Source organism: Homo sapiens, chromosome 17 (assembly GCF_000001405.40).
Source record: "Homo sapiens chromosome 17, GRCh38.p14 Primary Assembly".
Lineage (NCBI taxonomy): Eukaryota > Metazoa > Chordata > Mammalia > Primates > Hominidae > Homo > Homo sapiens.
Window position 1 is genome coordinate 20,962,324 of NC_000017.11, and position 24,059 is coordinate 20,986,382.

Sequence of the window (24,059 nt, forward strand, 5' to 3'; positions counted from 1 at the left end):
TATGCAAATTGACCATGTGGATAGTGCCTTTTGGGATGCACCTGTTCAGGTTTTTTTGCCCATTTTGTTTGTTTGGGGGGTGGGATTTATTGGCTCTGTAAGCAGGATATGAGCTTTTGCCCATTTATAAAATCAGATTCTCGTTGTTTTCCTTATTGCTTTAAAGAGTTCTTTATGTAGTCTCCATATAAGTCCCTTGTCAAACAAATATGTGGCAAATACCTTCTCCCAGTGTGCCTTAAATTATCTTCTTTTGATGAACAAAGTTCTTAATTTAATTAAGTCTAATTCATCAGTCTTTTCTCTAATGGTTAGTGCTTTTTGTATTCTGTGTAAGACATTGTTTATTCCAAGATCGTGAAGATATTGTCCTGTGTTTTCCTGTAAAAGCTTTATTGTTGTATATTTCACATTAAATAGATACGTTCTTTAAAATTGCCAACTCCTACTGCATCCTTACAACATTTTGCTAAAACTTCCGACAATTCCAGTGCCACAACACTCCCTTCCCAGGCTGAAGCTTTTTGGGAGGTGGGGATGGAAAATGAAAGAAGCTGGCAAGAAAAACCCAGGCTTGGCCGGGCTCAGTGGCTCACACCTGTAATCCCAGCACTTTGGGAGGCCGAGGTGGGCGGATCATGAGGTCAGGAGATCGAGACCATCCTGGCTAGCATGGTGAAACCCCGTCTCTACTAAAAATACAAAAGTTAGCTGGATGTGGTGGTGCATGCCTGTGATCCTAGCCATTCAGGAGGCTGAGGCAGGAGAATCGCTTGAACCCGGGAGGTGGAGGTTGCAGTGAGCCGAGATCGTGCCACTGCACTCCAGACTGGGTGGCTGAGCGAGACTCCATCTCAGAGAAAAAAAAGAAAGAAAGAGAAGAAAAGGAAAGGAAAGGAAAGATAAAAGAAAAACCCCGCCTCAGCCAGGACCCAGCACAGAGAGTAAATTAGCGGGGCTGGGAGTTTCTGCCATATCAGCAGTCAGATGTCTTAAAACCAGAATCTACCCAGAGTATATGTATCTTGTATCTTTTCCATAACGTTCTTTTCACTTTATGTTAAAGAAGAAAAAGAATCCCAGCACTTTGGGAGGCTGAGGTGGGAGGATTGCTTGAGCCCAGGAGTTTGAGGCTGCCGTGAGCTGTGATAGCACCACTGCACTCTGGTCTGGGTGACAGAGGGAGACCCTGTCTCCAAAAAAATTAAAAAAAAAAAAAACCTGTCAACGCTACTGACCAACAATAGAGGCTCTCAAGGTGTAAACTCACCTCAGATCCCTGTTTGTTCTTCCTGTCCACTCTGCCTCTACCCTGTTTCAAAGCTGGACCATGCCATGAAGGAAGGCTCCTCGGTTACAGCCTCCCCGAGCCCGTCAGCCACGCTGCCGAGGACACGGGAAAGAATAAGAAGCCAGAGGGAGGCGGCTGCCTGCAGGAGGTTTAGCATAAAGGAAATAGGAATGGTAATTTGAAATTGAAGAAAACATTTAAAAAGAGCTGTCATTCAAGTATGACACCCCTGATGCCACCTGTGCTGTCCCCCATCTGACAGAAATGGACTGAGGCAGCTGCCAGAGGGGATATGAAAAAGCAATTAACATTTTCAGAAGGGGTGGCCTTCTATGGTGTAACCTTGTTGTACTGAGATTGCAGGGAAGAGACACAAAGTTTCCAGTCATGATCACAAGAATAGTATTTCCTGCTGGAGTGATTTTTTGGTTTGTTTTTATGAACATCCTGGATTAGTTTGCAAAACATTTTACATTTGAAGAAATCCAAAACTCATTTTGCCTGAAGAGTTATATTCTTTCATCGTTAAATCTGTAAAATTACAAATATAAGTGTGTGTCTGCTTTACTTACTCTTCACAAAATAGTATGTGTCTAGATCTGATTGTCATAGGCTTGTTCTCTCAGAATTAGAAGCCAAAAGAAAAAAAAGAAGAAAAAAACTGGTGAAAGTCAGATGGTTCATAGTCTTTTTGAAAACCAGTAGCCATGTGCATTTTACTTAAAATAACTTTATTTCTACCTCACCAAAATACACCATGGTAGGTTATGTCTTTCCCTCTCTCTCTTTCTCTCTCCTCCCCATACACAACACACACACACACACACACATACACACAAGTTTTAGATTCAAGGGGTACATGTGCGGGTTTGTTACAGTGGTATATTGTGTGATGCTGAGGTTTGGGATACAGTTGATTCCATTACCCAGCTAGTGAGCATAGTACCCAATGGTTAGCTTTTCAGGCCCTGCCCTCCACCCTTCCTCACCCCTTTTGGAGTCCCCAGTGTCTGTTCCTATCTTTGTGTCTCTGTATACTCAATATTAAGCTCCCATTTATAAGCGAGAAAGTGTGGTAAGGTTTTCTGTTCCTGCATTGGTCACTTAGAATAATGGCCTCCAGCAGTGTCCATCCTACTGCAGAGGACATGGTTTCCTTTTTATGGGTGCATAGTATTCCATGGTGTATATGTACCATATTTTCTTTATCCATTCCACCATCGATGGGCATCTAGGTTGATTCCATGTTTTTGCTATTGTGAATAATGTGATGAATATACACGTGCACGTGTTTTTTTGGTAGACTTTTCCTTTGAGTACATACCCAGTAATAAGATTGCTAGGTTGAATGGTAACTCTGAGGTTCTTTGAGAAATCTCAAAACCACTTTCCACAGTGGCTGAAATAATTTACACTCCCAATAGTGTATAAGTGTTCCCTTTTCTCCACAGCCTCACCAGCAGCTATTATTTTTTGCCTTTTTAATAGTAGCTGTTCTGACTGGTGTGAGATGGTATGTTATCTCAACGAAGTTTTCATTTGCATTTCTCTGATGATTAGTGATGATCAGAATTGTTTGTATGTTTGTTGGCCACTTGTATGTCCTCTTTTGAGAAGTGTCTGTACATGTCCTTTGCCAATTTGTTAATGGGGTTGTTTTTTGCTTGTTGATTTTCTTTATCAATTCTGGATATTAGATACATAGTTTGCAAATACTTTCTCCCATTCTGAAAGTTGTTTACTCCATTGATAGTTTCTTTTGCTGTGCAGAAGCTCTTTAGTTTAATTAGATCCCACTTGTCAATTTTTGGTTTTGTTGCAGTTGCTTTTGGGGACTTAGCCAAAAATTATTCACCAAGGTCAATGTCAATGGTATTTCCTGGGTTTTCTTCTAGGATTTTTATATTTTGAGTTCTTCCATTTAAATCTTCAGTTAATTTTTGTATGTGGTAAAAGGTAGGCCTCTAGTTTCATTCTACTCTATATGGCTAGCCAGGTATCTCAGCATCATTTACTGAACAGGGAGTTCTTTCTCCATTGTTTGTTTTTGTTGAAGATCAGATAATAGTAGGTATGCAGCTTTATCTTCTCTTCCATTGATCTGTGTGTTTGCTTTTATATCGGTACCATGCTGTTTTCATTACTGTAGAGTTGTAGCATAATTTGAATGCCAGTAATGTGATGCCTTCAGCTTTGTTCTTCTTTTTTAGGACTGCTTTGGCTATTCAGGGTCTTTGCTGGTTCTATATGAATTTCAGAATAGTTTCTTCTAAATCTTTAAGAAGTGCAGTTGGTAGTTTGGTGGGAATAACATTGATTCTGTAAATTGCATTGGGCAGTATGGCCATTTTAATGATAGTGATGCTTCCAATCCATGACCATGAAATGTTTTTTCATTTATTTGTGTCATCTCTGGTTTCTTTCAGCCCCCTTCCATATGTTAACTCAGTAATGAACTTGTGTTCAGGGACATGTTCAGCTCCAGGTAATATTGTAGGTGCTGGGGATTCCACAGTGAATGAAACAGGCAGCAGTCCCTGCTCTCATGGAACTTAAACATCCTCATGGGGTCTGGCAGTTAACTGAAATAAAAGGTAACATATGTACCCTATTTGAAGGTTGTATTGCTGTGGAGAGAAATAAAGCAGGGAAGGAGGGTTGGGAATATTGGGTGAATGGTACAATTTATACACAGTGGTCAGGGAGATGACATTCAAGCACTTGCTCCCCTCTCTTGAAGGGCTTTGGTGTCTGCATGAAGGTTTATTTCCCACCAAGGCCTAGGTGTGGAGGGTCAGAGTAAGGAGGTCTTCACTGCCGTGACTGTGCCGATAGGATCTAAAGTGACACACGGTGGGAGCCTCAGGTCAGCAGCACTGGGAAGTGAGCACCACAGCCAGACCCACCTGCCAAGCCCCGGGCCAGCTGTGTGACGTCTTGAGTGGCCCAGGATTGAGACCCAGTGAAAGGATGTGAGTCTGCCCTTGCTATGAAGTGAGGCCCTCACTGAGCTCAAAATGGCGCTCCTAGGAGGCCCTTCCTCACATTCTGCTCAACTCAGCCATTTTCCAAGCCAAGTGGGCAGCCCTGACCCAGGGAACTCATACTCCTCCTTTTCTTTCACCTAAAAGTCTACTTTGGGCTCCTAGTTTTGTGTTCTGATGGGGAAATTTCCATCTCTAATGTAATTTCCAGTAAGAATTCTGAAGGGACAGAAAGCTGAGATGGGAATATGTCAGAAAGAATTCTAAAGATAACCCCCATGACTCTCCCTGGTAGAATGTCCTCCCCTTTATATGACACAGGGAGATGGTCTGGATGTGCCCCACCTAATCACAGAGCCCTGTAAAAGCCAAGTGATGTCTCTGGCTTGTGGCAGAAGTTGGGGAAATTCAAAGCATGAGAAGGACTCTGCATGTTCTTGGTGGCTTGAAGAGGGAGGGGCATGTGAGGAGCCGAGAAGGGCCCCTGGCTGACAGCCAGCAGGAAACAGGGACTTTCTAGCACGAAAACATTAGTGCTGAGGTCCTAGCAATGCCCAGAAATTACCATGTCAGTGCTCTGGAGTTTTGAGGTTGACAACTCCAAGTGTGGTGCCACCAGGTCCTTTGTCTCCTCCTCTGTCCTGATGCCCTCAGACCTCAGCAAAGCCAAGGATGCTCAGTTTGCTTTGCCTTCTGCTTTCCCTCAGCTGGGGGATCTTGGGCTGGAAGTCAGTCTGATGAATGTGTGGAATTCAACTCTAAGTCTCTCCTAAGTTCTCTGTCACCTCCCAAGAAGCATGATGAGGCACAGCCACCCTACACTTCCATGGGTGGCACCTTGGCTGCATTCCTTGGTCCCTGCCATACCACTGGACCCTTGGACACTGGTGAATCAGGCAAGGGCATGGATTGAGTCCCTACATCTCACCTGTATCTCCAAAGTTGGAATCCATAACCCTTAGCAAGTTGTAATGGGATGTTTAAGAGTTTTAAAGGCCGCTGGTTTCCTGAGTGGAATTAGAATATTATTAGAGCAGTACTGTAGCATTAGAGCCAGCTGCTCCGTGAGGTGGTGAGAGTCCTGACCCTGGGGGTGTGAAAACAGGAGGTAAGGAGGGACACAATGAGGGCATCCCGTAGTGACTTTAGGCTTGCTCATTTCCGCAGACAGAAAATTCCTAGCAATGGGATCTCTTTATTATATCGCTCTTAGAAACCCACCTGCCAGATCCCAGCTGTGGTTTTGTTACTATTCATTGACAGGAGTAATGAAATTTAAATGTTACAAATACAGCTAAAGGCCTCTTTGATGCAGTCCTGGTTCCCTCTTGCCTCACTTGGTGAGAGCTGGTGACGTCATGCAAGTCCTTGCAGGCTTCTTATGCTTCACACTCAGTGTGTGTGTTCACAGACAACACAGCACTGTACTGTGTGTGTGTGTGTGTGTGTGATCTGTTTGGTTTTGGTATTGTTTTACTAAAAGGGATCATACTGTAAGGCTCATGCTATAAACTACTTTTATTCACTTAGCATCTGTCCTAAGAGCTTCCAGATCTGTCTCGTTAACTGTGGCACAGACTTCTGACTCTGGCCTGTGCACCCTGCGGATTCAGGCATCCTCTGTTGCATGGACATTTACATTGCTTCCAGTTTCTGGCTGTCATTAGGGGACTCACTGAGGAGGAGAATTTCTTGGCGGGTGGGTTAGGTTTGGGGTCTACATTTAACTGACCCTGGCCAGTTGCCCTCCAGAATGCTGCTGCCAGCTCCCTCCCTCCAGCAGGGCATGAGTTTATGTTTCTGTAGATCACCCCCTGCCCCTGATGTTAGCAAACGTTAAAACTTTGCAACCTGATTGGTGAGTTACTTTTTCATTGTTTAGTTGTTTTTTTCTGATCTGAGGGACCTGGCGTTTTCTGTGTTTGCTGACCGTCTGCATCTCCTCTCCTGCTCTGTGCACCATCACCCTGCTCCAGCTGCTTCCTGGAGCCTCCCTCCTTCCTCTCCACCTGCCCGCGTCCTCTTTCTCCTTCAGTTTCTTCCTAAGGGCCCATGGGCTTTCTTTGGCTTTTACGTTCTTCTCACTCCGCCTTTGGCTGTTGCTGGGCCTCCCATCCCCTGGGAGGTTTCAGAGGATGGGGAAGACACAGGAGTGCAGTCACCATGCAGTGCAATATGGGCTGTAATGTTAATCCTCCACGGCCTTTATTGAGGACTTACTGTGTGCCAAGAACCTGCTCTGAGAACTTAACTGTGCTCCCTCCCTTCATGCTCATAACCACCTGTGAGACAGGCAATGTTCTCATCCCCTTTCACACAGAGAACATGGAGGCACAAAGGAGTTTCATAAATTGCCACTAAGGCCGTCCACTGGTGTGCGGCAGAGTCAAGATTCAAACCCAGGCTGTCTGGCTCTGGGTTTCCTCTGTTAGGTGTCAGATAGGGCCAAGGAGACACAGAGAAGGAGCACCACCTGACTTGGGCTGGGGCAGTCAGGGATGGCTTCCTGGAGGAGGTGACACCTCAGTGGAGCCTTCAAGGAGGAGCTGACCAGGCTTTGAATGTCCAGGAAGAGTGAAATGCCTGAGTGATGCTGGGAGGCTGGAGAGCTGGCCTGGCTCGGGTTGTGTGCCAGGGGGCAGGAGATCAGGACTAAGGGGTGGCCAGGGTCAGATCTAGAAGACTTGGGCCATCCCATAGTCAATACCTCATCGCAAGGCCAGGCAGGCCTTCCACTGCTCTGTTTGTACCCCATGGGACACCAGGAGCCTGGGCCGCGGCCACCCACCTGGGCCCCTGAGACCCAATGCACAGGCATGGGGGCGGGAGTGGGTGTGGCTGATTTACATCCAACAGGTTGAGGGGAAAACCCAGGAAGTGCAGCCCAGGCAATAATCAAATCTAAGACTAATAATAAGCATCCTGAGTAGTGAGTGGCCTGGGCTGGAGTGGGCAAGCTGGCCAGAGTGGATGGACCAGGAGGAGCCGTGTGAGTAGCCAGGCAGGAGGGCAGGTGGGAGGTGTGAGGAGGGTTGGGTCTGAGTGCCGTGGGGGTTGGCAGGGTCCAGTAGGTGCAAGGCCCACAGCAGATCCACACACTGGGGCAGTCCCAGCCTCCCCAAGCCCCTGCACATGGAGAGCCCCAAGTCTGGATGCCTCTGGGATGTGGGGCTTGCCTTCTGGGAGAGAAGCCACTGAGGCTACAGGGTTGGCCACACCGGCAGGAATTCCCTTTGTCACCATGGCCCCCGCACAGCCTCCATTTTCCCCCTTACATGCCCGCTGGACCATTTTAATGCTAATCTCAAATACCAGATTGTTTTGAGTTGCTGAGACTGCAGGATTTATTCCTTAAGAACACAAACTAAAAACAAAAAACTAAGCATCATACAATTCCTGCTAAAACAATTCCTAAACATCATCACATAACCCGCCAGGGTTCAAACTGCTCTGACTATCTCTTCAATGTCTTTCTCAGTTGATTTGTTCAAATCAGGATCCCAGCATAGCCCACATTAGACATTTGGCTATGTTTTAATCTATAACAGTTTCCACTTGTTTTTTTCTTGGTTGGTTGGTAAAGATACTGGACTATTTATACTGCAACATTTTTATCAGGGTAGGTTTCTAAGGCTTTATGAAAGGGCTCCAGATCCTTCACTGTGCAGACAGAATCCAAGGCTGGATGGACCTAGGGCATAGCCTAGATTCACAGCCTCTCCCTGCAGCTCTGTCCCCACACTCCAGGCAGAGAACAAATCTGTTCTCTCATCCTCTTTTGTGTCCTGCGACCACATCCCCAGAATCTACCCAGCCAGGGGCTCAAATACGTAATGTTTCTCTTTCTGAGAGAGTTAGACAAGGCAGTGACCAGAGGCTGCCTTGACACAGGATGAAATTGCCCAGAGCCCTGGGGCCGGGAGTCAAGACCCAGCTAGAACTGTGACCTGGCACTAGCAGAGGCCGCCTGGTGCTGCAGAATCACCCCTGGCCAGTTGTTCAGTGACCCACTCTGAGACCTTGGCTGAGCCACTTCCCCTCAGTGTAAAATGAAGAAGACTGTCTTTCCTACCAGATATCCCTCAAAAAAAACAAAAGTGCTTTGAACCTGTCAGATCCCCTGTTAAAGAGTCACAAGGAAAGGCTCTGAGAAGACTTGCAGTTAAAAAAATCCTTTGGCTTCCTTTAACCCAGAGATTTTTCAAGGTAATTTGACCACAGAGAACTTTCTTGGTGCAGCAGCTGTTAACTAGCCAAACGTGTGGAGGCACAAGCAGAGGGCTCAGAGAATCACCCTCTTTGGCTGCTCTCTGGTTTCAGGGTGCAGGGGAGAGTCTCTGTCCTGCATCCGAGTCTGCAGCAGCCTGGAGTATGAGCCCAGCCCACAGAGCTAGTGTCCAAGAGGAGTTCCCTTTCTTCCCTTTCCATCAATGGAGCTTCTCTCTCAAGCTTCTATTCTGCCTGGCTGGTGTCAATCTTGGGGTTTTCCTGCCCTCCTTTGACACTTGATGGTGGTTCTGGGATTTTGATGGTGGTGGAGGAGGGGGCAGGGACAGGCCCTCTGGTCAGCTTGGCATCTGCCATCTGGTCAGTCAGGCACTGTCTCTCCATAGGTCCGGTGGCTTTGGTGGCTTCTAGGCCATGAATGGGTCTTGGAACCTCTCCAAGGCTGCCCTTGTCACATAGAACCTGCTGCCCACGTTCCACTCAACCATCCCTTCACGGTGATATGTGGTGGGTGGTGGCTTTCTCCCTCTTTGCTCCCCCCACCCAAAAGGGGGAAGAATCAGGGGTCTGTCTTTAATTTTGTTTGATCCTTTGATTTTACATTTGCTTTTAAATATACAGTAGAGTCAGATGGTTTGAAACCCAGAAAGTATTGGAAGATGTATAATGGAAAGTCTCTTTCCCACCTTGTCCTCCATCTGCCCAGTTCCCACCTCCTCTAGAATAAGCAACATTATTGAGGTATAATTTACATGCCATGAAATTCACCTGTGTAAAGTGTACAAGTCAGTGTTTTAGAGTTGTGCAGCCATCACCATAAGCTAATTTTAGAACATTTTGATGACCCCAAAAAGAAACTTTGTCAGTCTTCATTCCTCCCCAACCCCAGGCTACCACTACTCTCTGTCTCTGTAGATTTGCCTGTTTTGGACATTTTCCATAAATGGAATCATATGTGGCGTATTGTGACTAGCTGCTTCCACTTGGCATAATGTTTTCAAGGGCCATCCATGTTGTAGCAGGTATCAGTACTTGCTTCAGTTTTGTGGCTAAGTAACATTCCACTTTATGGATATGTCATATGGCTTTTCCAGTCATCGGTGGATGGACATTTGGGTTGTTTCTACTTTTTGGCCACTTTGATTATTAACAATGCTTCCATGAACTTTTGTGTTAAGATTTTGGGTGGACGTGTTTTCATTTCTTTTGAGTAGATGGATACCTAGAAGTGGAATTGCTGGATCATATGGTAATTCTACATTTAGCATTTTAAGGACCTGCAAACTGCTTTCCAAAGTGGCTGTGCTATTTTATTTTATTTTATTTTTATTTTTATTTTATTTATTTATTTATTTATTTATTTATTTATTTATTTATTTATTGAGACGGAATCTCACTGTGTCGCCCAGGCTGGAGTGCAGTGGCGCGATCTTGGCTCACTGCAAGCTCCATCTCCCAGGTTCACGCCATTCTCCTGCCTCAGCCTCCCGAGTAGCTGGGACTGCAGGCGCCCGCCACCACACCCAGCTAATTTTTTGTATTTTTAGTAGAGACAGGGTTTCACCATGTTAGCCAGGATGATTTCAATCTCCTGACCTTGTGGTCCGCCCACCTTGGGCTCCCAAAGTGCTGGGATTACAGGCATGAGCCACTGCACCTGGCCTATTTTATTTTTTAAATTTAATTATTTTATTTTATTTATTTTAATTTTTGTTTTTTGTTTTTTGTTTTAGATAGAGTCTCACTCTTGTTGCCCAGGCTGGAGTGCAGTGGCACAATCTGGCTTGCTGCAACCTCTGCTTCCCTAGTTCATAAGATTCTGCTGCCTCAGCCTCCCAAGTAGCTGGAATTACAGATGCCCACTACCATGCCTGACTAATTTTGTATTTTTAGTAGAGATGGGGTTTTACCATGTTGGCCAGGCTGGTCTCGAACTCCTGACTTGAGGTGATCCACCCACCTCGGCCTCCCAAAGTGCTGGGATTACAGGCATGGGCCACTGTGTCTGGCCGGCTGCGCACTGTTTTATAGCTCATTTCATGCATGAGGGTTCTGATTTCTCCACATCTTCACTGACACTTGTCATTGACTGTCTTTCTCATTGTAGCCACCCTAGGGGGTGTGAGGTGGTATGTCAGTGTGGTTTGGATTTGCATTTCCCTAATGACAAATGATGTTGAGCATCTTTTCATGTGCTTTTTGGCCATTTGTATGTCTTTTTTTGGGAAAATGTCTATTGAAATCTCTAGCCCATATAAAAATTGGATTATTTGTCTTTTTTCAGTATTCTGTTATAAGCATTTTTTATATATTCTGGATACAAACTCCTTATCAGATACAAGATTTGTAACTATTTCCTCCAGGTTTGTAGATTGTCTTTTTACTTTCTTCATGATGTTCTTTGGAACACGAAAGGTTTTCATTTTGATGAAGTCCAATTTTTATCCATCTTCTCGTCTATCATGCACATTTGGCGTCATTGCCTAACCCCAAATCATAAAGATTTAATTCCATGTTTTCTTCTAAGAGTTCTATAGTTTTAGCTCTTACATGTAAGTCTGTGACCTACTTTGAGCTCACGTTTGTGTGTGGTGTGAGAAAGGGGCCCAAGTTCATTCTTTTGTATGTTAATATACAGTTAACCCAGCAGCATTTATTGAAAAGACTATTGTTTCTCTCATTGACTTGTCTTGGTACCCTTGTTGAAAATCCATTGATCACAACTGTTACTCTAATTATATTCTGTTGATCTATGTCTGTCTTCATGCCAGACCACCCTGCCTTAATTAGTGTTGCCTTGCAATAAGTGTTGAGGTGGGGAACCATGAGTCTTCATGTATTTTTTCTTTCGATTCATGAACATGGGATGTCTTTCCATTTATTGAAATTTTTAATTTACTTCAGCAATGTTGTATAGTTTTCACGTCTTGCACTTCTTTTATTAAATTTCTTCTTAAATGTTTTATTTAAAACGGTGTTTTTGGTTTCTTATTTTTCAACAGGATTTCTTTATGCGTATATGATCATTCACAAAATACAGATCAGAGCTTCCCCCTTTTTGCAAAAACAACCCCCGAAATAAAAACAGAGCCTATGAGCCATGCTGTTATATACCTTATTTTGTTTTTATTTTTATTTTTTTAGTCAATATGTCTTGCTGTTCTTTCCATAGCAACATATAAAGAGCTTCCTCATTACTTCGATAGCTACATAAAAATCTAGTGTATAAATATACTGTAATTTACTCAGTCAATTCCCTGCCGATGGTTGTTGGGTTACTTTTAGTCTTCTGCTATTACAAATGTTACTGCAATGAATTTATCATTTCACACTTCAGGATAAATTGCAAAGTTTAATCACTGGGTCAGTGGGTAAATCCCTCAGTAATTTTGACAAATGTTGCCAAATTACCCCCATGGGGGTTATTTCTGTTTACTCTCCTTTCATGAGGAATAAGAATGCCACTCTCCCCATGGCTCTGCCAAAAGAAGGTGTTACTAAACTTTTGGAGTTTTAACAATCTCTTAGGGTGAAGATGGTATCAGTGTAGTTTGAATTTGCCGTCTCTTTTGAATGAGGCAAAGCATCCTTATGTTGTATTTTCCTGTCTATGAACTGTGTATTCATGCACTTTGCCCATTTTTCTCTTGGGTAGCTGGTCTTTATTTTTCCGTTTATTCTTTAGATTTGAGTTGCAAAGGTTTTGTGCCTGTTTTTCATATGTCTTTGGACTTAGGTGTTTGTTGTCATGAAGAAGTTTTTTTGTTTGCTTGTTTTGTGGATTCTATATTATGCATCTTTTCTTTTATGGATTTTGGGTCATAATTAGAAAGGCGTTTCATATTCCAATAATGTAAAGAAATTATCAAATGGTTTCTTCTCTATTAACTTTACATATTTTTATTCTTTTCACATTTAAATATTTTATTGGGTTGGGTCTTGATCTGAGGGAAGTTATTTCCTGTGCCTGTTTCTGGCCCAGTCACTTTGTGCCAAGAATCCTTTCTCTGAAGTGTTGAAAGCAACAGCCAGGACTTTCCCATTTCCCCACCAGGGCACCTCTCTGGATGGAGTCCTCCCTGGATGGAGGATGGAGGAGATGCAGGCAGGGAGGGAGCTGCTGATGAAACTCCGTATGATCCCTGCCCAGCTGTCTATCAGCACAGTGCAAGAATGTGGCTTGCTTTTCCTTCCACAAGCCTTTACTGAGGACAACTATATACAAGGAATCCAGTTACTGATTAGCATTTATCCAGCAACTGCTGTGTGCATGCTATCATGGAAGGCACTGGATTCAGAGACAAATGAGACAGTAGGAGGAGGCAGAATGGCTACACCCTGAAATGTCACCAATAAGAAATGTCACCCAGCAGTGGGTGCTGGGAATTCAGGTTCTGGGAGTAGTTCAGGTTCTGGGAGTAGTTCCCTCCCACCAGGAGCACTAATTTGATGCTACTATTATTAATAATCATCATTGGCTGGGCACGGGGGCTCACACCTGTGGTCTTAGCTACTTAGGAGGCTGAGTGGGGACAATCGCTTGAACCCAGGAGTTCAAGGCTGCAGTGAGCTGTGATTACACCCCTGCAGTTTTGTAGAGACAGAGCAACACCCTGTCTCTACAAAAAATTATCGTTAATATTATAATTATTTTATATTATTATAAGATTATAACTATTGACCCATTATATTTCATACTATTTATATCACAGTAACAACTACCAGTAGTAGCAGCCGTGTCTTGGGCCAGTTACATGCTTGTCATATACACACCCTTGAGAAGAGCTAGAAAAGGAAGCCTAGAATTCCCATTTTACAGGTCAAGAAAACTGAGGTTTTGCTTGGCCCAGGTTCTTCCCAGGATGACTCAGCTGTCCTTTCCCCACCACAGGCACTTCACTCCGGCACACTCTGGGTTACTCATCCATGGTGAATCCATTTTCAACATGAGCTGACAGGAGTCAAAAATTATGATGGGTAGAAGTGGTTGTCCCCATTTCACAAACAGAAAACTAAGAAGGTGACTTGACCAGTTCACCCAGGACCTAATTAAGTAGTTCTTCCTTTAGAACTAGCATGGGGATGGTGGGCTCTCAACCCTGAAAATCTCTGAAGGTTCATTCTGGGTGGAGATAGGAGCAGGCAGGGGTGGGTCTTAGTGCCATTTTCAATATTTCAAAATAGCCAGGTGAGAAATCATATACAGCTCACAGAAACCAAAAGCATCTTTTCCTCCTCCTCCATCATCCTCTTCCCCCTCCTCATCTGTCCTCCTCTTTTTTCCTTCTTCCACCCTTGTGTCTCCTCCTCTTCATCCTTCTCCTTCTCCTCTTTTTCCTCCTTCCTCTCCTTCCTGATTAACAGAAACCAGATTGTAAAGTCGTCATCTATTCCCATGCACGTCGCCCAGGTCTCAGGCTGCAGCCTCATCCAGGCACACATGCCGTGTCGTCACACTGGAATGCTCTCCTGTGCCCACCTCATTGATGAGCTCAGCTCATAGCCCCCAACCCAAGTTTGCACTCAGTGTTTGCTTGAAGGATTGAGTGAGAAATTCCTCCTATCTGCCAAGCTTTACTGTCTTTTTCCAGTCACATCTGCAGGTTTTCTTGGTGAAATTGTAAAGGGCAAGAACAAGGAGCTGACGTCTCCCCCCAACCCTGCTCCAAACTCCTGCACAGACCCCTCCCCACCAAGGAGGAAAAGATGGAGTTGGCTCACGCCAACAGGAATTGGCCCCTAAATTTTTGTTTCCTCAGTGCAGGTGTGGGCCTTGTCCAGCACAGCATTCTGTATCACAGAGAGTGGCAGTATTGATAAGGGTAGCAGCTCAGGAGGTTAAACCTTTACTAACATGCTTAGTACCATGCTAGGCACCTGCCATGCATATGCTACTCACAATGACCCTGTGCAGTAAGCAACAGCATCCTCATTTTACAGGGGAGGATGCTGGGTCTCCAAGAGGGGAAGTTGTGCCCAGGGTCACACACACAGGAGTACCAGGCACGTGATGCACAGTCCAGGGTTCCCAAGCAGGGCTGCCCCATGGCTTTCCCCAGGCTCATCCCCAAAGGCTCAGAAACTGGTCCACTCCCCATGCTGGTCCTTCACTTGTCCATTTTAGACGCTCTGGATTGATTTCCTACTTTCTAAGGTGAGGACTTGGACGTCACTATCTGCATGCATGCAGCCTCCCTTCCCCAGGCCCCCAGTGAAGGAGGGGTGCGTGTTCAGCTGGAGTCAAGGCAGACCTGCTGGCTGCCAGCTCTGCTCCAGAATGTCAACTCCTCTGCAGTTTAGTTCTCTTCCCTCTCCTTCCTCTCTCCTAGAAAGCCTGTTTTTGCCTTCGTTCATTGACGGTGGCCTAATGGCTCATACAGTGAGTAAACAATTTTACAGAAGAAATAATTCCACAGATAGCTCACTTATTTATGATGATGTAAATACTGCCCACACCTGAGCTGTACTTTTACCATTTTAATCGTTATGATGTGTACAGTAAAGTGGCATTAAGTACATGAACAAGTACCACTATCGATACCAAAGACTTTTCTATCGCCCCAGACAGAAATTCTGTACGCATTAATAACTTCTGCCTGTGGTAATCTCTGTTCTACTCTCTAACTCTATGAATTTGCTTCTTCTACTTTCTTCATGTAAATGGAATTGTACAATATTTGTCTCTATATGATTGTCTTATTTCACTTAGCATAATATCTTCAAGTTCATCCATGTCGTAGCATGTGTAAGTATTCCATTCATTTTAACAACTGAATAGTATCCCTCCGCGTACCTGTAACACATTTTGTTTATCCATTCATGCGCTGATAAACGATTGGGCTGTTTCCACCTTTGGCTGTTGTGAATATGCTGTTCTGAATGTTGGGGCACAAGTATCTGTTCACATCCCTGTTTCAGTTCCTTTAGATATTTACTTAGGCGTGGGATTACTGGGTCATGTGGTAGTTTTATGTTTGTCTTTTTGAGGAACTGCCAGACTTTTCCACAGCTGTTGCTCTGTTATACATTCCCATGAGCAGTGCCTTCACATCCACTTTCTTCACATCGCTGAAGCTGCTTATTTTCCATTTTTTTATAATAGCCATCCTAATGGGTGTGAACTGATATCTCATTGTGGTTTCAATTTGCATTTCCCTAATGAATAATGACATTGAGCATCTGTTCATGTGCTTATTGACCACTTGAATGTTTTATTTGGAGAAATGCTGATTCAAGCCTTTTGCCCAGTTTTGTTGTTGTTGTTGTTGTTGTTGTTGTTTTTAGATGGAGTCTCGCTTTGTAGCCCAGGCTGGAGTGAGGTGGCGCGATCTCAGCTCACCGCAAGCTCCACCTCCCAGGTTCACGCCATTCTCCTGCCTTAGCCTCCCTAGTAGCTGGTACTACAGGCGCCCGCCACCATGCCCAGCTAATTTTTTTGTATTTTTAGTAGAGACAGGGTATCACCATGTTAGCCAGGATGGTCTCGAGCTCCTGACCTTGTGATCCACCTGCCTCGGCCTCCCAAAGCGCTAGGATTACAGGTGTGAGCCACCACACCCGGCTGCCTTTTGGGTAGTTTTGACTTGTGTTGTTTGGATTTTTGTTGTTGAGTTTTAAGAGTGTGGGGTTTTTTTTTTTTTTTGCTTTTGTGTTTTTGTTTTGAGATGGAGTCTTGTTCTATCTCCAGGCTGGAGTGCCGCGGCACGATCTCAGCTCACTGCAACCTCTGCCTCCCGAGTTCAACTGATTCTGCTGCCTCGCCTCCCGAGTAGCTGGGACTACAGGTGCATGCCACCACGCCCAGCTAATTTTTGTATTTTTAGTAGAGACGGGGTTTCACCATGTTGGCCAGGATGGTCTCAATCTCTTGACCTCATGATCCTCCCACCTCGGCCTCCCAAAGTGCTGGGATTACGTGCTCCTAAATTGCATGATAATGTATGCTAGTATTTGAGACTGTATTGCAATGATGCTTGATTGACTCTTTCAGTCTGGAAGCCAATGTCCTTCACATCATTAGTCAACCTTTGGAGTTCCTGAAATGATTCCATAATTTCGTATCTTTTGTCTCCTGTTTTCTGAACAATTATTCAATTACATCTTTGAGCTTTTCTACTGATATTTTTATTCTGGCTATAAAATAATTTCTTATAATTCTCATTTGTTCTACGAACGTCCTTTACAATAGTCTGCTGTTTTGTTTCTTAGATACACAATCCTCTCTTATATTTCTGGGGATCTCAACTCTTGCTGCTCTTGTTTTAAAATGCTCTTCTGTTTCCTGCGTGTCTTCGTTGGCACCAGGTGTCTGCCTTCTGTTTGGTTTGAGTTTGCTTTCCTGCTAGAGGCAGTGCTCCCATATCAGGTGACCCTTGGCCATTGGTTCACAAGTCAGACTGAGGCACTGACAGCTGCCTGGAAGTTCTGGGTAAGCAGATGGGCTCACTCGTGTAGAAGCTTTGCTCCAGTGGGATCAGGCAGGGACTTGGACATTTTCTGGAGAGAATCTCCCGCTGTCAGTGCCTCTGGGTCTTTTCCTTTGGGTCTGTTTTCCCAGAGCAGAGACTTCTGATTTCCTGCCAGTTTCAGGGTAGGAAGGCAGGTGTCTTTAAAAACCTGGTTGCCGTACTCCTTAGGTAGGGGCTGGGGTGAGTGAAGAGAGGGGAGACTGACCATCCAAGAGGAAGATTTTCACAGTCTCCCTGTTGCCAGGAAGGACCACGTTGCTACCCTCAGCTGTGTCCAAGGAGACCCCACTGTTATGCCCGGGCGGGTGGAGGGACTGGCACCTGCCTTGGAATGGGGATGTGCTGTGGTCACGCCCTCTTTATGTAAGTTTTCAACCAATCCTCTTTCAGAGCTTCCTGCCTCCTGCCCAGCCCCTGCTGTCAGAGATACTTGGTGCTTCCAGTTCTGGAGACTTCCTTGAGTTCTGTGACTCAAAACAACTTCCTTCCCCTGTGGGCATCAACAATGAGAGATCTTCAGATGCGATCAGGCACTCCAGTCCTTCCATCTCCCACAATGTTGGAGACCTGTGTTCCCTGCTGTAGAAACCTCTGCCATTCCCTTTATCTCTGAAGACAGATGGACTTGACTGTCAGCTTAGCTTGGTTTCAGGAGGAAAGGAAGATAAACCCCTGTGTTTAAGCTGCCGTGTTAAATGGGAGGCACCTGGTCTTTTTTCTTTTTCTTTTTTAAAGACTGGGTCTCGCTCTGTTATCCAAGCTGCAGTGCAGTGATGTGATCATAGCTCACCTCAGCCTTGAACTCTCAGGCTCAAGCGATCCTCCAGCCTCAGCCTCCTGAATTGCTGGGATTATAGCACCTGGCCAATTTTAAAATCTTTCTGTAGCGACAGGATCTCACTATGTTGCCCAGGCTGGTCTTGAACCCCTGGCCTCAAGGAATTCTCCCACAACCTCCCAAAGTGCTAAGATTACAGGCAAGAGCCATGGTGCCCAGCCACCTCTGGTCTTCCCTCAGTTTGCTTTCATTAAAGGACAAACACATGCCTTGCAAAATGCTTTTAAACATTTTTAAGGAGAAGTTGTTGGGGGAAGCAAATGTCATGAAATCAGAAAAGGATGGAGAAGGTGATGCATGCACACAGTGGAAGACTCACAGTAACACAAAACCAGACACACAGAGAGCACCCACATGGATGAGTCTCAGGCACCACGTGGAGGGACAAAACCAGACACGGAAGTTCCAGAAGGGGCAATATTAACCTATGGGGGTAACAACAGAACAGTAGCTGCCTCTAGGAGTGGGCATTGGGTAGGAGGGGACCCCAGGGAGTCTTCGGGGTGAGGAAATGTCCTACGTCTCCATGTGGGCTGTAAAGACACAGGTGCATACATACATCAAATTTCACCAAGCTGTATTCTTCAGCTTTTTGTGCACCTTACACACATCATTGTGGTTGTTTCATACTTTAGTAAAAAAGAAAATGGAAAGGAAATTGACATTTCTTGGTTCTTGCTGTGTGCTAGGCACTGACTTGGTCCGCACTTAAAGAAACCATTCACTTAATGAGCAGGTGCTGTGTCCTAAGTACTATCTAGGTTCTGAGGACTCAGCAATTAATAAGAAAAATTAGGCACAGTCCCTGCCAGATGGTGCTCACAGTTAGTGTAGGAGCCAGCATCAAATAACCACACGCACAGAAGGAAAGTGACCACAGCAACAGGTAAAGGGCAGTGCGAGTGTGTAGAAGAAGGACCGTGTCCTAGTCTAGGGGGCAAGTCAGAAAGGCTTCCCTGGGAGATCAGGTTTAGACAGAGGTCTCAGGTTGAGAAGGAATAAGCAGCTGAGGGGCAGGGGCTGGGGAGAAGGGCACGTCATGCGAGGGAACAGCAGGTGCAAAGACCCTGTGGCAGGGAGAGGAGCGGCACGTTAAGGAGGGCAAGGGGCAGGGCCCAGCAGGGCACTATTGATGTGAGAGAGCAGGGGGCCTGCAAACCATTTGCAGATAGGGAAACTGAGGCTGGAGAGGGGAGGTGGCTGCCCTAGGCCTCCAGCCAGCACAGTGGGAGTTGGAAGCCAGCTTTCTCTGCCCTCTCTGCTCCTGAGACAGCACTTATGTCTATGGGAAAGTGGACAGCAAGAGGCTGGGCTGCGACCACCTGCCAGCTGCCCTCACGCTTCTGGTCTCTCAGCTCCACAGGGCCTGTGAGCAGGGCTGGCTATGAGATCCTGCCCTGAAGAGCAGTACTGGGCTGCTCTGCTAGGCACCTGCATGTCCTGCAAAGCCATCTGCAACCATCAGAGCCAGCGCACCTGTGCAGCCTCCTGCGGTGAGTTCTGGGACCTGAGCCCAGGGGACAGTGTGATCACCCCCAACGCCTGTCCCCAGAGCACCCTCTGGCCCCACAGTCAGGTGGCTGAGGAGAGGATGGCAGGAGGAGATGTACAGTGTGGCACCTCTTATCCCTCCACCTTCCTGCTCTGGCCACACTGCCTCCTTTCAGTGTCGAACATGCCATGTTCTTCCCTGCCTCGGGTTCTTTGCACATGTTGTTCCCGCTGCCTGGAATGCATGCTCTCTATCATCTTCCCTCAGCTCCCTCCTACCCAACTTTCAGGTCTCGGCCCAAACATCGGGGGTCTCCTCTGACCACACAGTAGTACTGGGCCCTCCTTTGTACTGCTAGTGTTACTTTCTTTTGAAACTTTTAATTACAGAACTTACCACACATATACATAGAGAGGACTGCACAATGATGCCCTCCTCATCCATTACCAGCTTCACAAATCATTTAAATTCTGCCTTGTACTTTCCCAACCAGTTGTTTTGGCTTGTGTATTTTAAAGCAAAGCCAAGACCTCATATCATTTTACCTGCAGATACTGGGCCATAAAGATCTGTAAAACATAACCCAAATATCCTATCACTGCCAGCAATAATTTATTAACATCATCTAATATTCAGGCCATATCCAATTTTCCCTGATTGTCTTGAAAACTATCCATTGCTTGCTGTTCTTTTTCATAATCTGTCTTTTTCCTTGATAGAACTTACCACAATTTGCTGTTTTGTTCTTTTGTGTGTATGTGTTTCACATCTACTCAGCCACTGGACTGGGTGCTCCCTGAGGGGAGGAACCATGTCTGACTTGAACCTAGCACAGTGCCTGACACATAGTAAGTCCTTCATGAATACTTGCTGAGGGGAACTCAGAGAGGCTGAGTGACTTACCCAAGATCACACAGCTTAAAAGTGAAGATGTCAGGGTTTGAACCCAGGACTCTGACTCCTAAATCATACCCTGAACCGTTACCCATTAATGAATTAGAACATTCATTGATTCATCCCACAAACATAGATGGAGTGCTCCAGCCCCATGGAAATAGGAATCTGGTGTGGCCCTTCAAGGACAGTATCATCTAATGGGAGAAATGATTGTGTGTCAAGGTAGAAAGCCATAGTTGGGGCCGGGCGTGGTGGCTCATGCCTGTAATCCCAGCACTTCAGGAGGCCAAGGCGGGCGGATCACCTGAGGTCGAAAGTTCGAGACCATCCTGACCAACAAGGAGAAACCCTGTCTCTACTAAAAAAAAAAAAAATATACAAAATTAGCCAGGCGTGGTGGCACATGCTTATAATCCCAGCTACTGGGGAGGCTGAGGCAGGAGAATCTCTTGAACCCAGGAGGCAGAGGTTATGGTGAGCCAAGATCACGCCATTGCACTCCGGCCTGGGCAACAACAGTGAAACTCCGTCTCAAAAAAAAAAAAAAAAAAGCCACAGTTGGGAGAGACCACCTTCAGCTGGCGGCGGGGGGTAGCAGGGAGGTGTCCCTGGAGGAAGCACCATCAGAGGCAGATTGTTAAGAGGCCACAGAATGCAGAAATCAGTTGAAGGGGAAGGGTGCCTGGAAGAGAGGACAGCATGAGCAGAGGTGGGAAACATAGCGGGGAAGACTGAGTCCTGGGTGGGGGCGGGGTGGGGTGTGAGGTCAGGCAGGGAGGGTCAGCGGTCTGGGGCGCTCAGGCACCACCTGCAACAGCCATACTGGGACCACTGAGGAGGGGAGGAGGTCACAGAAAGCCTCAAGGACACCACTGCTGGGCTGAGTGTGCCAGGAGTGGAGGTATCAGTTTCTGTGCAGTTCACTGAGCCCTGGGATAGGGCAGGGCCAGAGTAGGGGAGGCCCCATGTGGGCCATCTGAGTTTTCTTCGAGGTTCCAACTCCGTGGTCTTTTAGGTCCGTCCTTTACTCTGTCAAAGACACAAGGACAGGTGTGTATTTACTTTGTGAAGAGGCTCAAATGAGTATTCTACTCAAGCCTTCCATTAAGTGGACATTTAGTATGTGCCAGGTGCTGTGCTGGGCACTTCAACTCTGCCAACGACCCTAAGAAGTCAGTACTGTTATTTTCCCTTTATTGGAAATGAGGAAACTGAGGCATGGAGAGGCTATGACCACACTGCCTGCAAGTGGTACAGCCAAGGTAGGCTCTGAAATGTGGGTTCTTATCCACTCTCCTGCAATGCCTCTGAAATGTGTCCTTAAAATATCTCTGTGAGCCACAGAGGGACCATCTCCTACAATTAAGAATGGCTATTGGCAGCCGCCGCCGCCCGACCGCCGGGAGGATGGAGTTCAGCGGGCAGCGGAGCTGTCTCAGTCTTTGCCGCCGCGCCGGCGAGCGCCGCCCGGGAGGCAGCGGCTGGAGGAGCGGACGGGCCCCGCGGGGCCCGAGGGCAAGGAGCAGCCGCCTGCCTTGGCCTCCCAAAGTGCCAAGATTGCAGCCTCTGCCCGGCTGCCACCCCGTCTGGGAAGTGAGGAGTGTCTCTGCCTGGCCGCCCATCGTCTGGGATGTGAGGAGCCCCTCTGCCTGGCTGCCCAGTCTGGAAAGTGAGGAGCGTCTCCGCCCGGCCGCCATCCCATCTAGGAAGTGAGGAGCGCCTCTTCCCAGCCGCCATCACATCTAGGAAGTGAGGAGCGTCTCTGCCCGGCCGCCCATCGTCTGAGATGTGGGGAGCGCCTCTGCCCCGCCGCCCCATCTGGGATGTGAGGAGCGCCTCTGCCCGGCCGAGACCCCGTCTGGGAGGTGAGGAGCGTCTCTGCCCGGCCGCCCCGTCTGAGAAGTGAGGAGACCCTCTGCCTGGCAACCACCCCGTCTGAGAAGTGAGGAGCCCCTCTGCCCGGCAGCTGCCCCGTCTGAGAAGTGAGGAGCCTCTCCGCCCGGCAGCCACCCCATCTGGGAAGTGAGGAGCGTCTCCGCCCGGCAGCCACCCCGTCCGGGAGGGAGGTGGGGGGGGTCAGCCCCCCGCCCGGCCAGCCGCCCCATCTGGGAGGGAGGTGGGGGGTCAGCCCCCCCGCCCGGCCAGCCGTGCCATCCGGGAGGGAGGTGGGGGGGGTCAGCCCCCCGCCTGGCCAGCCGTGCCATCCGGGAGGGAGGTGGGGGGGTCAGCCCCCCGCCCGGCCAGCCGCCCCGTCCGGGAGGTGAGGGGCGCCTCTGCCCGGCCGCCCTCAGCCCGGCCAGCCACCCCGTCCGGGAGGGAGATGGGGGGGTCAGCCCCCCCACCCGGCCAGCCGCCCCGTCCGGTAGGGAGGTAGGGGGGTCAGCCCCCCGCCTGGCCAGCCGCCCCGTCCGGGAGGGAGGTGGGGGGGTCAGCCCTCCGCCCGGCCAGCCGCCCCGTCTGGGAGGTGAGGGGCGCCTCTGCCCAGCCGCCCCTACTGGGAAGTGAGGAGCCCCTCTGCCCGGCCAGCCGCCCCGTCCGGGAGGAGGTGGGGGGGTCAGCCCCCCGCCCAGCCAGCCGCCCTGTCCGGGAGGGAGGTGGGGGGGGGTCGGCCCCCCTGCCCGGCCAGCCGCCCCGTCCGGGAGGTGAGGGGCGCCTCTGCCCGGCCGCCCCTACTGGGAAGTGAGGAGCCCCTCTGCCCGGCCAGCCGCCCCGTCCGGGAGGGAGGTGGGGGGGTCGGCCCCCCGCCCGGCCAGCCGCCCCGTCCGGGAGGGAGGTGGGGGGGGGTCGGCCCCCCTGCCCGGCCAGCCGCCCCGTCCGGGAGGTGAGGGGCGCCTCTGCCCGGCTGCCCCTACTGGGAAGTGAGGAGCCCCTCTGCCCGGCCAGCCGCCCCGTCCGGGAGGGAGGTGGGGGGGTCAGCCCCCCGCCCGGCCAGCCGCCCCGTCCGGGAGGGAGGTTGGGGGGTCAGCCCCCCGCCCGGCCAGCCGCCCCGTCCGGGAGGGAGGTTGGGGGGTCAGCCCCCCGCCCAGCCAGCCGCCCCGTCCGGGAGGGAGGTGGGGGGGGTCAGTCCCCCTGCCCGGCCAGCCGCCCCGTCCGGGAGGTGAGGGGCGCCTCTGCCCGGCCGCCCCTACTGGGAAGTGAGGAGCCCCTCTGCCCGGCCACCACCCCGTCTGGGAGGTGTGCCCAACAGCTCATTGAGAACGGGCCAGGATGACAATGGCGGCTTTGTGGAATAGAAAGGCGGGAAAGGTGGGGAAAAGATTGAGAAATCGGATGGTTGCCGTGTCTGTGTAGAAAGAAGTAGACATGGGAGACTTTTCATTTTGTTCTGCACTAAGAAAAATTCCTCTGCCTTGGGATCCTGTTGATCTGTGACCTTACCCCCAACCCTGTGCTCTCTGAAACATGTGCTGTGTCCACTCAGGGTTAAATGGATTAAGGGCAGTGCAAGATGTGCTTTGTTAAACAGATGCTTGAAGGCAGCATGCTCGTTAAGAGTCATCACCAATCCCTAATCTCAAGTAATCAGGGACACAAACACTGCGGAAGGCCGCAGGGTCCTCTGCCTAGGAAAACCAGAGACCTTTGTTCACTTGTTTATCTGCTGACCTTCCCTCCACTATTGTCCTATGACCCTGCCAAATCCCCCTCTGTGAGAAACACCCAAGAATTATCAATAAAAAAATAAATTAAAAAAAAAAAAAGAATGGACTTTCCCAGGCCAGCTGTGGTGGCTCACGACTGTAATCCCAGCACTGTGGCAGGCCAAGGCGGGCAGATCACCTGAGATCAGGAGTTCAAGACCAGCCTGACCAACACGGAGAAACCCCGTCTCTACTAAAAATAAAAAAAATTGGCTGGGCGT

General features: G+C 48.1%; 1 protein-coding gene and 1 long non-coding RNA gene across 22 annotated transcripts in view, besides 3 other annotated features; both read left to right on the forward strand.

The window, feature by feature from the left end:
- Window positions 1-20,034, forward strand: part of LOC339260 (uncharacterized) — a 43,792-nt gene extending 23,758 nt beyond the window's left edge. For 5 of the 9 annotated variants that reach the window (NR_160714.1, NR_160718.1, NR_160716.1 and 2 more), the window contains one exon: window positions 17,361-18,026. This is a non-coding gene — a long non-coding RNA (uncharacterized LOC339260). Of the gene's footprint in view, window positions 1-17,360; window positions 18,027-19,163 lie in introns of those variants that run through there. The other 4 variants (NR_123730.2, NR_160717.1, NR_160721.1 and 1 more) reach the window with 1 other exon arrangement.
- Window positions 1-24,059, forward strand: part of LOC124900389 (uncharacterized) — a 61,221-nt gene that overhangs the window by 23,758 nt on the left and 13,404 nt on the right. For all 13 annotated transcript variants that reach the window (XM_047437235.1, XM_047437240.1, XM_047437233.1 and 10 more), the window contains one exon: window positions 19,164-19,301. The gene's annotated coding sequence lies outside the window, so the exon portion shown is untranslated. The remainder of the gene's footprint in view (window positions 1-19,163; window positions 19,302-24,059) is intronic.
- Window positions 6,958-7,007: an enhancer, noted in NCBI's record as "active region_11874". NCBI's record gives its function as "activates an Ori minimal core promoter by ATAC-STARR-seq in GM12878 lymphoblastoid cells {active_cell/tissue: GM12878}" and the evidence as "EXISTENCE:reporter gene assay evidence [ECO:0000049][PMID:35858748]".
- Window positions 7,238-7,287: an enhancer, noted in NCBI's record as "active region_11875". NCBI's record gives its function as "activates an Ori minimal core promoter by ATAC-STARR-seq in GM12878 lymphoblastoid cells {active_cell/tissue: GM12878}" and the evidence as "EXISTENCE:reporter gene assay evidence [ECO:0000049][PMID:35858748]".
- Window positions 7,298-7,387: an enhancer, noted in NCBI's record as "active region_11876". NCBI's record gives its function as "activates an Ori minimal core promoter by ATAC-STARR-seq in GM12878 lymphoblastoid cells {active_cell/tissue: GM12878}" and the evidence as "EXISTENCE:reporter gene assay evidence [ECO:0000049][PMID:35858748]".